At 38.1% G+C, this 13,618-nt stretch overlaps 1 long non-coding RNA gene across 1 annotated transcript in view; it reads right to left on the bottom strand.

Moving 5' to 3' along the window:
- Window positions 1-1,979: 1,979 nt before the first annotated feature.
- The window catches only part of SUCLG2-DT (SUCLG2 divergent transcript), a 293,017-nt gene continuing 281,378 nt past the window's right edge, over window positions 1,980-13,618 (bottom strand). The window contains exon 7 of the long non-coding RNA NR_109992.1: window positions 1,980-2,552. This is a non-coding gene — a long non-coding RNA (SUCLG2 divergent transcript). The remainder of the gene's footprint in view (window positions 2,553-13,618) is intronic.

Here is a 13,618-nt window from a genome sequence, read left to right as displayed (position 1 = left end):
TTATGTCCCCTTCAGTTGTGAAGCTTAGTTTGGCTGGATATGGGATTCTGGGTTGAAAGTTCTTTTCTTTAAGAATGGTGAATATTGGCCCCCACTCTCTTCTAGCTTGTAGGGTATCTGCCGAGAGATCTGCTGTTAGTCTGATAGGCTTCCCTTTGTGGGTAACCCGAGCTTTCTCACTGGCTACCCTTAGCAATTTTTCCTTTATTTCAATCTTGGTGAATCTGACAATTACGTGTCTTGGGGTTGCTCTTCTCGAGGAGTATCTTTGTGTTGTTCTCTGTATTTCCTGAATTTGAATGTTGGCCTGCTTTGCTAGGTTAGGGAAGTTCTCCTGGATAATATCCTGAAGAGTGTTTTCTAACTTGATTCCATTCTCCCCGTCACTTTCTGGTACACCAATCAAATGTATATTTGGTCTTTTCACATAGTCCCATATTTCTTGGAAGCTTTGTTCATTTCTTTTCACTTTTTTTTCTTTAATCTTGTATTCTCACTTTATTTCATTAATTTGATCTTCAATCACTGATATCCTTTCTTCCACTTGATCGAATTGGCTATTGAAGCTTGTGCATGTGTCATGAAATTCTTGTGCCATGTTTTTCACCTCCATCAGTTCATGTAAGGTCTTCTCTACACTGTTTTTTCTAGTTAGCCATTTGTCTAAACTTTTTTCAAGCTTTTTAGCTTCCTTGCGATGGGTTAGAACATGCTCCTTTAGCTCAGAGAAGTTTGTTATTACTGACCTTCTGAAGTCTACTTCTGTCAACTCATCTAACTCATTCTCTGTCCAGTTTTGTTCCTTTGCTGGCAAGGAGCTGCGATCCTTTGGAGGAGAAGAGGCACTCTGTTTTTTGAAATTTTCAGCTTTTCTGCTCTGGTTTCTCCCCATCTTTGTGGTTTTATCTACCTTTGGTCATTGATATTGGTGACCTACAGATGGGGTTTTGGTGTGGATGTCCTTTTTGTTGATGTTGATGCTATTCTTTTCAGTTTGTTAATTTTTCTTCTAACAGTCAGACCCATCAGCTACAGGTCTGTTGTAGTCACCAGCAGAGGCTGCAGAACAGCAAATATTGCTGCCTGAACATTGCCCTGGAAGCTTCATTCCAGAGGAGCACCCGCCTGTTTGAGGTGTCTGTCAGCCCCTACTGGGAGGTGTTTCCTAGTCAGGCTACATGGGGGTGAGGGACCAGCTTGAGGAGGTAGTCTGTCCGTTCTCAGAGCTCGAACACCATGCTGAGAGAATCACTGCTCTCTTCAGAGCTGTCAGACCGGGATGTTTAAGTCTGCAGAAGTTGTCTGCTGCCTTTTGTTCTACTATGCCCTGCCCCCAGAGGTGGAATCTATAGAGGCAGCAGGACTTGCTGAGTTGTGGTGGGCTCCACCCATTTCATGCTTCCTGGCCTCTTTGTTTATACTGTGAGCTACTCAAGCCTCAGCAATGGTGGACGCCCCTCCCCCTGTGAAGCTGCAGAATCACAGGTTGATCTCAGACTGCTGTGCTAGCAGCAAACAAGGCTCTGTGGGCGCGGGAGCCACCGAGCCAGGCAAGGGAGAGTATCTCCTGGTCTGCTCGTTGCTAAGACTGTGGGAAAAACACAATATTTGGTCAGGAGAGTATTGTTTCTCCAGATACAGTCTGTCACACCTTCCCTTGGCTAGAAAAGGGAAATCCCCTGACCCCTTGCACTTCCCAGGTGAGGTGACACGCCGCTCTCCTTCAGCTCACCCTCCGTGGGCTGCACCCACTGTCCAACCAGTCCCAGTGAGATGAACGAGGTATCTCAGTTGGAAATGCAGAAATCACCCATCTTCTGTGTCAATCTCGCTGGGAGCTGCAGACTGGAGCTGTTCCTGTTTGGCCATCTTGGAAGCACTTGACAAGTCTTGTTTAATAAGTTTGAATCCTGTCTCTCGAATCCTACCTCTCAAACATATCAGCTGTATGATTTGAACAAATTACTTATTCTAATCCCTTTGAGTTTCAACATCTTTATTTGTAAAATAGAGCCAGTAACCACACTTAACATTATGGTTTTTTTCTTTTGGTTATCATTCATTGGGCACTTATCATGTGCCAGGTAGGATGTTAATATGGTAAATTCCTAGTAAAAGCCACATTTAATTTTCCCTTTCTTTGGGGATTTCAGTGTTTTCCATATTGTTTGGTAAATTGTTTCTTTATCTCCCTCAAAGTTGCAAGTTTGGCTTACAAATTTCAAAGATATTCTGTTCATATCAGTCGCTATTCACCCATAAGATTACACAGCCAGGCACAGTGGCTCATGCCTGTAATCCCAGCATTTTGAGAGGCCAAGGTGGGTGGATCACGAGGTCAGGAGATTGAGACCATTCTGGCCAACATGGTGAAACCCTGTCTCTACTAAAATACAATAAAAAAAATAGTTGGGTGTGGTGGCACACTCCTGTAGTCCCAGCTACACAGGACACTGAGGCAGGGGAATCACTTGAACCTGGGAGGCGGAGGTTGCATTGAGCCGAGATCACACCACTGCACTCCAGCCTGGTGACAGAGCAAGACTTCATCTCTAAATAAATAAATAAATAAATAAAAAATACACCTCAGAATGGTCATGACCTGCATATAAAGTCTCTTTTCATAAGACTTATTTTAAACGAATAACTGAAACAAGTAGTAGTTAATCTGTGCATTAATGTTAAAGTAACTCACACAATAAAGTCAAAACAGTTGATATTATCTGAAAATGACTATATCCTTGATTGATAAAGCCTTTTGTATTGCAACACAATACTTACAACTGAGAAACGGTAACTTTAAAGTCATACCACTATTGACTTTGAGGAGAGCCTTCCTATAGTTTCTGTAATTTTAACTTTTAGATTCCTAATTTAGTTAAGCAATTCACAAGAATTCTATTACTGACTTTATAAGTCATAGCTCCCAAACAAAATACTGATGAAACCTTCAATTCTCCAAAAATTACATGCCCTTGAGAGAGTTACTATTTTGAGAGACATTTTATCTTTTCAGATGCAAAAGGGAAACTTGCATGTACAGATGGGCATCTTCTTTGAGGCATATGCTAAGATAATAAAACCACAGGCATTTCTTCTGCATAGAATTGTGTCACAGGATTGTAATGCACAAGACTGCTTTGAAAATACTGTTTTCTAACTTGAGACCTTGGTCATAGTTAGGAAAGAAAACTAAAGTCACTGGACAAAATGAGGGAAAAAAAAAGATTGTCTTGCATTGAGTCTTTTTAAATGAGTCTTTTTAAATGAGTGTACAGTACACATTAGTCATTACTAATGGTTTTAAAAGATAAAGAAGACCAAAAGATACATACAAACCAGCTACCATCACTTTTAACTTAAATTTCAATTATTCTGTGTCATATTTTCATGAAGGTGAGTTTACTGTGATAGTTTTAAGAGTAATATCTTCCCTGGAATCATCAGAGGTGTCTTTTAATAATTGTCTTCTTAGAGTTGTTAACCTGAAACATTGAGATTATATATATTTAGTACAGGAAACTTCAATAATTACAATGTTTTAGGTAAGAGGAAACCATACTAGTTAAGATAAAAAAGAAGAAAAATACCAAGTACTAGGAGCTCTCAAATACTTCTAATGGCAGTGAATTGGCAACCACTTTTGAGAAGTGATGTTTCTCACCAAAGATGTAAACATGCACACTCCATAAACCAAAAGTCCATTCTTAGATAAATTCACAACAGAAATATGATATGTGTTCATAAAAAGATGTATTAAAGTATTTATGAAATGTAATCCCCAGTGTTGGAGGTGAGGCATAGTGGCAGGTGTTTGGATCATGAGGGTGAATCCCTCATGAATGGCTTGGACTATTCCCTTGGTGATAAATGAGCTCCTGCTCTGAGTTCACAGGAGATATGGTCATTTAAAAGTGTGTGGCATCCCTCCACACATACACTCTCTCTTTCCCTTGCTCCTGCTCGGCTATGTGAGATTGCCTGCTCCCCCTTTGTCTTCCACCATGATTGTAAGCTTCCTGAGGCCTCCCTAGAAGCCAAGCAGATGCCAGCACCATGCCTCTTGTAAAGCCTGCAGAACCACAAGTCAATTAAAACTCTTTTCTTTATAAATTACCCAGTCTCAGGTATCTGTTTATAGCAATGCAAAAATGGCCCAATACAGCCCCATACTAGGAACTACCCAAATGCTCATCCCAGTTTAGTGGATGAATGGTGGTATATTCACTCATCAGCAATGCAAATGAACCATCTGCAATGACATGTAGTCTGGTGGACCAATCTTTGAAACTTAATGCTAAATGAAAGACCTCAGACACACACAGGAAGTACATACTATATAGGATTCTATTCTATGAAATACAATACAGGCAAAATTAATCTATACAATTAAAAAGCCCAAATAGTGGTTACTCTGGGGAGTAGGGAGATTTGTGTCTGGAAGGGAGCAGGAGTGGGCTTCTAAGATGCTTGTTTGTGAGTGCTAGTCACACAGTTGTATTCAGTTTGTGAAAACATATTGAATGGTCCACTTTCATGTGCACATTTCTCCATGTAAATTATATTTTAATAAAATTTAAACCATAAAAAATAAAAGCAGAATGCTTCGGATAAGATAATTTTGTTTGCTCACTTCAATTTATATACTGTTTTCCACATTAACTTTATAACAATCAACAGCAAAGAATTCTTAATAACAAAACTATCATCTTCCCTGCAGAACATTTTTTAATTAACTAGTGATTCATTCATAAAACATAATGCGGAGTCTAGTTCTTCCACAAAATGGCATTGCAGTAGACACCGTCATAGTAACGTCACTTATTTTTCTGATGTGTTTAACCAGATTAGTACACCTGAAGATTGCAAAATAAATATTTTATACCCCACTTTAGAAAGGCATTTTATTACACAAACATTAAAATCCCCCTTCCAGAAAATACAACATAGTTAACTGAATTTGTATCCTACTGAAGTTTCCTTAGCTCTTAAAAGGAAAAATACATAGCGTCAAAATTATCCTTGAAAATTCCCCAGTGATGTGGTACACCAGAGACTGAACTACAACTCATAGTCTGTACAAGATAGATGGTTTTTGCTTTAACACTAATTTGATCACTTTTTCTCTGATTGAAGATGAGATAAAGGAACTAGCTGGTATTTACAATTATATTAATAAAAGGAAACAAAAATATCAGAATCACACCAGCCTCAGAAGCACGTGGGAGCTGTAATTAACTGAGGTAACAGCAAAGTCATGGAGTCCAACTCAGAGTTCCTGTAGGACGTACACTCACTGGGTAGAGTGGCTGGTTGGACTGCCCTTATTATTTAAATTATTTTCCCTTTTGCTTTCGCTCAGTCCCCATCCCTGACCCCAATGTAGTGCGCTCATAATTGAATTCATAAAATTTTTAGTTTACTCTTCTGAAAAATCGGAATATCTACCTTACATTGTAATGGCAAAATGTAAATGTATCTAAAACACCTCCTGGGCAGCATAGTATCCAGCATGTTGTGAGTGCTCAGTAAGTAACAGCTATTATTATTGTGGTAGAAGAATGTGAAAATAAATAAAAGATATAAAATTATGACACAGTACCAAAGCAAAGTTTAAAATTAATTACACTTTTTCAAACTGTGTGGAAAATTTTTAAAAATTTTAAAAATATGTAGTATCCACCTCACTCAGCATCCTTTTCCCAAAGCTCAAGACCATGTGGACACTGTGGTTCCCTTTCCACTCCCCTGGCAATATGGCTTTGATGGCCCTCCATCAAGAGGTGAGGTGTATTTCTTAGGCCACTGGATGATTGCTGGCTATGGAATGCTTGGCCAACTGAACTCAGCAAAAGGGGCTGAGTGCCTATTCCAGATTTAGGCCTCCAGAAGCCATGTGGGCTCTCACTTGGTCTCTGGGGACTCTGCCTCAGTCATGAGCATAACTTTGGGCTAGCCTGCCGGAGGAAGAGATACAATGTGGGTCAGAGGCCAGTCAGCCTACTTATGCCAGTTGAGGTCCCAGACACCTGCCAGACCCACATTGATTAGCAAAGCCACCAAAGCCAGCCTACAGCTCTACTGTGGTCACTCACAGCTGACCACAGACACACAAGGAAGACACACTAGTACTGCCCAGCAGAATCATAAGCCAAATACACAATTGTTATTTTAAGTCAACATATTTTGAGTGAATTTTTACTCAACCATACCTATCTGATAGAGACTGCCTATTTTCTAATCCATTCAAAATTTTTATTTAACCCTAGAGCATTAATTGCAACATGTGGTTCAGACACATTGTAGTATTCCTACACATTATGTAATATGTTCAGACATTCCATAATATTCCACAAAGACACATATGTGCACAAACCCAGGGGTTGGGTATATAAAAATGTGTCCCATTGATTCACCTCTTTCATAACAGAGTATCCATGACCCTACAATAAAAAAGACTTAGACCCTAATCACCAGCATAGTCTGGTCATTTTCCATCTGTTGCATTATAAATAAATTATTTAACCAACATGTGTATCAGAGATTCTGGCCAACGTAGTAGAGTATGCATCTTCTTTCAAACTTGATGCACAATTAGGAAATACCTAATTGAGAAGATCAACTTTAAATACCAGCTTAGAATTATGAATAGTTACACAGGAGTAGGTACTTTTAATCTTTTTAAAATTTAAATAGGTAAAAAGGAACATATAGGTTGGGTGCGGTGCCTCATGCCTGTAATCCCAGCACTTTGGGAGGCCAAGGTGGGCGGATCATGAGGTCAGGAGTTTGAGACCAGCCTGGCCAATATGGTGAAACCCCATCTCTACTAAAAATACAAAAAAATTAGCTGGGCATGGTGGTATGTGCCTGTAGTCCCAGCTACTCGGGAGGCTGAGGCAGAAGAATCACTTGAACCCAAGAAGCATAGGTTGCAGTGAGCCGAGATGGCACCACTGCATTCCAGACTGGGGGACAGAGCGAGACTCCAACTCAAAAAACAAAAAAAAATACCGAAAAATTAAGTTTATCTTCTTTCGCTGTTCCATTTTAAAGGCAGTGTCATCATTGCCAGTGTGTTACGTATGCTTCCAGAGATGCTCCATTTGTTTTGTATATATATTGTACATGCATGTGTATTTGCATGTATGTTTACCTGCTCCCCTCCTTGATGCTTTGCACTTTACAGTTTGTCTTGGAACTCATTATCGGTATGTATAGATTTTAAAGCAGAGAGATTTGAAATGAGATGTTCCCAGGCCAAGGCATACGGGGGTTAATGGTTGAGTGACGGTAACGGCCAGTCCTCCAGTAAATAGAAGACTGTTAAAAGCTTCACATTTTCTATTCACTTTTCAGTACTTTTTTATTCCTTTCACTGACAGGGTATGATTGCCAGAAAGTTGGGGATCATTAGAGGCCATTTCTTTCCCTCTCTCTTTGAAGCAACGTTTAATGGACCTATAGTACATGCTTAAGCCTGCAGTCGTCACTGATTTAAATAAAAAATCAGTCCCAAAACCTGAAAGGGCTGAGAGAATGGGACTTCAATTTGGACCTAGGTCTTATAAGGGTTTAATTATTTGTTTATGGAAATATTTTATTGTCTTAATGATATTAGTCATTATTTAATAAGAAGTCATGTATTGCCTAAGACTGTCTTACGTGGGGGATCAATTTACAACCTTAAAAGAAAACCAAATGCTGAGAAAAGCAGCAACCAAGTGTCAGAATGTCTGGTTTATAGACCCCAAGCCCAGAAATAATTAGATCATGCAGGCAGGGATCTTACAGATGCAAGTACTGTGTTCAAAGAACAAGGCCACACTTACTCAGAAGCCAAGTTTATCCAACTCAGGATTCTGCATCTTTCAGAGGAACATTTGTGGCTCGACGATTGCCCATCATGAAATCACCTTTAAAAATAGAATGATGCACCACAAGCACATCTAAATTCCTTTTAGCATCTAGTACAGAAAAACAAATCAGTGATGTAGTTTCTAAATTTCTGAAACAGTTTCTAGTCTGTATTATGTATTGAAGAGACATGGCTTGGGTTTGGTTTGGTTTTGGTTTTGGTTTTTTTATTCTTTTCATCTATACCACCTACTTTAGATGACTTTAGCTACATCCTGAAGATATAAAGTCAATAACATAGTAGCAAGTTATTATAAGAAATTAAATCTGCAGTTCTTTTTTAATAATCAGATTAAATTCAGGATACATTTCCTAACATAAGAATTTCAAAGTGCTTAAAATCTGGGACAGATTTTTTTTCAGCAATGTTACGGGAACTAACGTGGGAGGAAGAAGGGGGGGAGGCAGAAGAAAAGGAAGAAAAGGAGGAAGGAGAGGGGGAAAAAGGCAGGTTGAGGGGAGGAGGAGGGAGGGAGAGAGGAAGAGAACCAAGATAGCCTACTCCCAAAAGTAGTGTTTCCATGGAGAAGCAATGCTATTAGAGACACTTAGCTTGCAAGATGACTAGGACACATTCTTAACTTTATATTGGAAGATTACCATGTATGCTAGTTTTATCTCATATGAGGCAGCAAATTTTCTTAGAATACCAACAAGTGGGCTTCAGAGAATTATATAGTGAGGACACAGTGATCACTACAAAAATAAACAAAAGCTTTCGGTTTATTTCTCACTGGGAGAGAGTCTGTAAAAGGCTGAACTTTTTGAAAAGTGAAATCTGATGCAAAAACTTCATCTAAGGAAACATTAGCTTGAACATCCGGGGAGGTGGGAGTAGAAATCGTCTCACACTATTTTTTCCTCTCTATTATATTTTCTCTTCCTGATAATTTTGGGAATAACATCATGTCCTATATTCTGTCAGCTACTGCTAATGCTCTGAACTTTCAGTTCCTGCCTGGCAGGGATCCATCAATCCACAGTCTTTTCACTATTAAACCTATTTCTCAATGTAGGTCACTTGAGTCCAAATTACTCAGTTACAGATAAAATATAACCCTCCACTAGAGGGATGTATTTTTATCCCAACATTCAAAGAGTTGCCTTTTTAACATGGCCTAGTGTTAATGGAGGTTACACTCATAACTCTTCAAGAAGAAACTATAACTTAGAAATCTACTCTCCCCTTGATAATTAGGTTTAACTTCTATTAACATAAAATGAGAATTATGTGACTTAGAGGAAGTGAGATAAGGTGCCTTAGTTTAAACTAATGATGAAAATTGTGACTTCTCCATATTGTGGAAGTCTCTTCTGAAATCATACTAGCATTTAGGGAAATGCCACTATAACCCCCACAGCTGTTGCCTAGAACCCAAATATTGAGAAAGAAATTAGGAAGCTCTGTATCATGTCTGTATGTTGTTAGTGACACTGAACTTCCTAATTTGTTATTTTAAATCATGACTTACTGTACTTCATTGTAAGGGAGATTCAATTTCTGAGTGTATAGTTGACTACAAGCGATGTATTCAATTTTTTTTTTCTCAGTGTCTCTTATCACCTCTTACAGAAGGGCCTAGTAAAGCTTTTATGCCAAATCCTGACTTGGCTTTAAGTCACTATGTATGTACTATTTTACACATTTAGCAAGATGTAAATGCAAATTTAGGCATCTATCAGATATTTAGCAAAGACCATAACACTTAGACAATTCTGATCAAAAATTTAATTTTTATACTATTGAAAAATCCACTACTTATGCAAGTGGTATATTGAGAATATTATTTAGGAAGTTTTACCCTTAAATCCTAATGTTTTCCTAATAATATGTTACATAACCAAAGAAAAGTCATATTACCTAAATCACCCATTAGAAAAACTAACATTGAATAAAGACCACCAGTTGAGCTCATGGAATTACCAGAGCACTTTATAATGATCATTCATTCACATGGGGAACTTTTTCAAGCAAATTCATATGTGGAATTCAACTGGGATGAGAGATTGGGTTAAATAAGACCCCAAACAGAGTCCTGAGGCACCGACATGTGTAAACATCACCAGCTAAGGTATTTAAGTCTTAGGAAAGTGTACTCACTAATGACTTATTTACTTTTATCTTAGACATACTTTTAACAATGTTACCTATTTCATTTTCCTGTGAATATTATTAACAAATAAATTATAAATAGAAAGAAAGCTCTTAAGGCACGCTTCCTGAAAGAAGTGCTGTCTAATACTGAGGCAAAGTATAGAAAAATAACATAGCATTGTATGCAAGTATTCAAAAAGCATACTCCTCTTGAATCAGCAAAGGTACCTCAAGATACCTCTGTTTCCCACATGGTTCGATAACAGTAAAAAGGATAACCCCTAGGCATCTTATACAGAACATGAAATTCTGTTCAAACTGCAACTTAAGATGGTGGAGAAAGCCACAATCCATTGTAGAAAGGCTTTCATTTTATGGCTAAAATGTTTTTTTATCGTTATTGTTGTTAAGGTTTTTCTCACAGATGATATAACTACAACTAGCTAAGCAAGTCACCTATGACAATGTGAACTTGCCACTGTCATAAAGGAAACAAAGTTATTGTGTATGCTTTGATTGTAAACTACTGGGAGTCAATTTCATTTGACCAATATTGAGTCCCTACTCTAGGCAAAACACTTGGTATGGAAAATGCATTTGAAATGAATAACTTTGTTATACATATAAGTAAAATTTCTTATCTATTTCATTTAATTAATTTCTTAATCTAGTCATTAATGACAATGGCTGTTAAAAATTTTTATACCTATGTCTTACAAACCCTTCCTCAGCCTATCAAAACACAGCTTCAAGAAGAAAAATGGATTTTAATAATAACAACAGCAAAGCCTTCTCTAGAATTAGCTAGGTTTCAGACACTGTTCTAAGCCTTTTGAACACATTACTTCATTTATTCATTTAATCCTTACAACCTTTTGCAAAATAGGTACAATCATCACCTTTATTTTTGAGACAAGGAACCTACCCAGAGTTATCTGGAAACTTGCTCAGGGTCTTACTGCCAGGAAGTAGTGGAACCAAGATTCAAAAGCCAAAGCTTTCTAGAGGGAGAGGGAGGATTATCAGGATGTTCATGAATACGAATTTTAAAATAATCCACAAATGAAATGTTGTAAGTATCATGAGTGCCAGCTATGCTGTATTTGGAACTATCTATTGAGTACAATGGTCACTTTTGGGGTGATGGGTACACTAGAAGTCCAAACCTCACCATTAAACAATATATACATGTAACACTGCACATGTACCCCTGAATCCAAAATAAATAAAATTTTTAAAAATAATAAGAAACATAAAAGTTTTTATTTTACCTTCAGATAAAGAACTATCAACATGCTGTGGCTAAGTCTGAATAGATATTTAAAACTCTCCAAAAGTTGTCATGATTTGTTTCAAAGGACTGACCAAAGATACATGCATTGCCTATCACCAGTTCAAATGCAAACTGCCTCAAAGAGCCAAAATGTCAGAAATATCAGATAGCCTTGTATACAATGGCCTAAGAACATTTTCTTTTCAATCGGTTTATCACACAATATTCAAAATTTACTATTATTAATGAATCATGAGAACTAATGTTTCAAATGCATAAGAAAATACAAGCCATAAGAGATAAATACAATTGTGTGCATGAAGAAAGATTCTTGGTGAAAGCAATGTCTGAAACAGTGAATTCTTTTGGTTACAAATGGTGGAAACCCAAATCAAACTAGTTTAGGTAAAAGGGGTGGGAGGAGATATTTTATTCACTCATAAAACTAGAAGGTCACAAGTTCATCTGACTCAGAAGCATAAACAATGTCCCTAGCACTCTGCCTCACTTAGCTTTTATTTCTTCTGATAGTATGTGGGCTTCATTCTCAGGCTCATGTTTCCAGAAGGCTCAGAAGATAGCAACAAGTAACCTCAAATATGCACCTTTATTGATGAGCTACCAAATCTCAGATAAAATTCTAATTGGCCTGACTTGGATTGAGGGCCCTTTCTTACCTAATCACTGCAGCCTAGAGGTCAAAGAACACATAAGGTTGTACCAGCACAAAGCTGGTCAAAACTTGGAAGAGGCCATCATTGCATCAGTGGCTAGAGTGAGAGATGGCACAAAGAGGTTATATAAAGTGCTGTATAAGAGACATCTGATACACTGTCAGAGGTTATGTATGCATACGCTTGAATATTGTCTATGTCTAGATTTCAGGAGAACATGACTATCAGAGATGATTAGATGAGCAGAACCTGAGATTCCTAGATTTAGCCTGTGGCCCCCGAAGGGTTTAAAGTTGTCCCAGGCTAATATCCCCTGGCCCTTAGCAAATGCAAAAGCAAATCCCCCATGGTGGAAATTATCCCCGGTGTAACCCCCTAGGTTTCCAATGCATTAAGGTCAACCAGTAGGAGCCCACAAACCACCATGGGTGAGAGAGTCAGCAAAAGCAAGCAAACAATCAGATTTAGACACCTAATTATTTAATATAGGAATATAAGAGACAGAATATAAAATTAGTTATGAATTATAGTAACAAAATCAAAGAACCTGAGGGGCTCTCCCTGAGTGCCCCCACGGGATTAACTGCTTAATAGGACACCACGGCAGTTACCCAAAGGAAAAATAAAATGTTTTCTTACGTGAAGAAAGGGGAAGATTATGTTGAACAGGTAGAAACAACATTTGACTGCTACTATCATGATTTTCCCATGGAGAAAGCTCAGATTTCATGCAGGGTAACAACTTCCTTGTATTCAGGGATAGTTATGTGTCAAGCACTGTGCTAAGCATGTCACATGCCTCCTTTCATTTAATTCTATGGCAATATTGAGGTAGACATGATTGTTATTATTTCTAGGAATGATGTGAAATTGTGTACCTATTCACCTATACCAGCTATTTACACCAAGACCTTTCTAACTGGCCAATGTGCGTTTCAGTTAATTGGTTCCTGTGCCATACTAGTTGATGTATTTCAAATAACCAATTCTGCTTTTTCTTTTGTTTCTTTTTGAGACAGGTTCTCACTCTTGCTCAGGCTGGAGTGCAGTGGCATGATCATAGCTCACTGCAGCCTGAAGCTCCTAGGCTCAAGCGATCCTCCCACCTCAACCTCCCGTGTAGCTGGGACTACAGGAATGTGCCTCCACCCCTTGCTGATTTTTTTAAAAAAATTGTAGAGATGAGGATTCTCTATATTGCCCAGGCTGGTCTTGAACTCCTGGGCTCAAGCAATCCTCTCACCTCAACCTCCCAAAGTGTTGGTATTACAGGCATGAGCCATCAGGCCAGGCCTTCCTGTTTATTTTCAATACTGCCATAAAGCAACTGAGATTCACAGAGTTTCATAATTTAAAAATGTAAGTTCAGTAAGTACAAATCCACTAGTAGGAACTCAGTAAATGTTATTCATTATTAATGTTAATTACTGTTAGCATAAGCATGACAAATGCTATAGGGACATTATATTTTAATGGTTTAAGATATTCATTAAAGTATAATTTTCATAAAATAAATGCAAATTCTATTTTAAGTGCACAGCTTGATGTGTTTTGCCCAAAGTATACAGCCTTGTAACTACCACCACATAAGACAGACGTTTCTCTCATCTCAGTTTTCTCTTGCCGCTTTGCAGTAAATTCCCTCATCTCTCCTGGACA

Source organism: Homo sapiens, chromosome 3, assembly GCF_000001405.40.
Source record: "Homo sapiens chromosome 3, GRCh38.p14 Primary Assembly".
Classification (NCBI taxonomy): domain Eukaryota; kingdom Metazoa; phylum Chordata; class Mammalia; order Primates; family Hominidae; genus Homo; species Homo sapiens.
The sequence above is the reverse complement of the archived record's forward strand: the minus strand, read 5'-3'. Positions and strand labels throughout refer to the sequence as shown.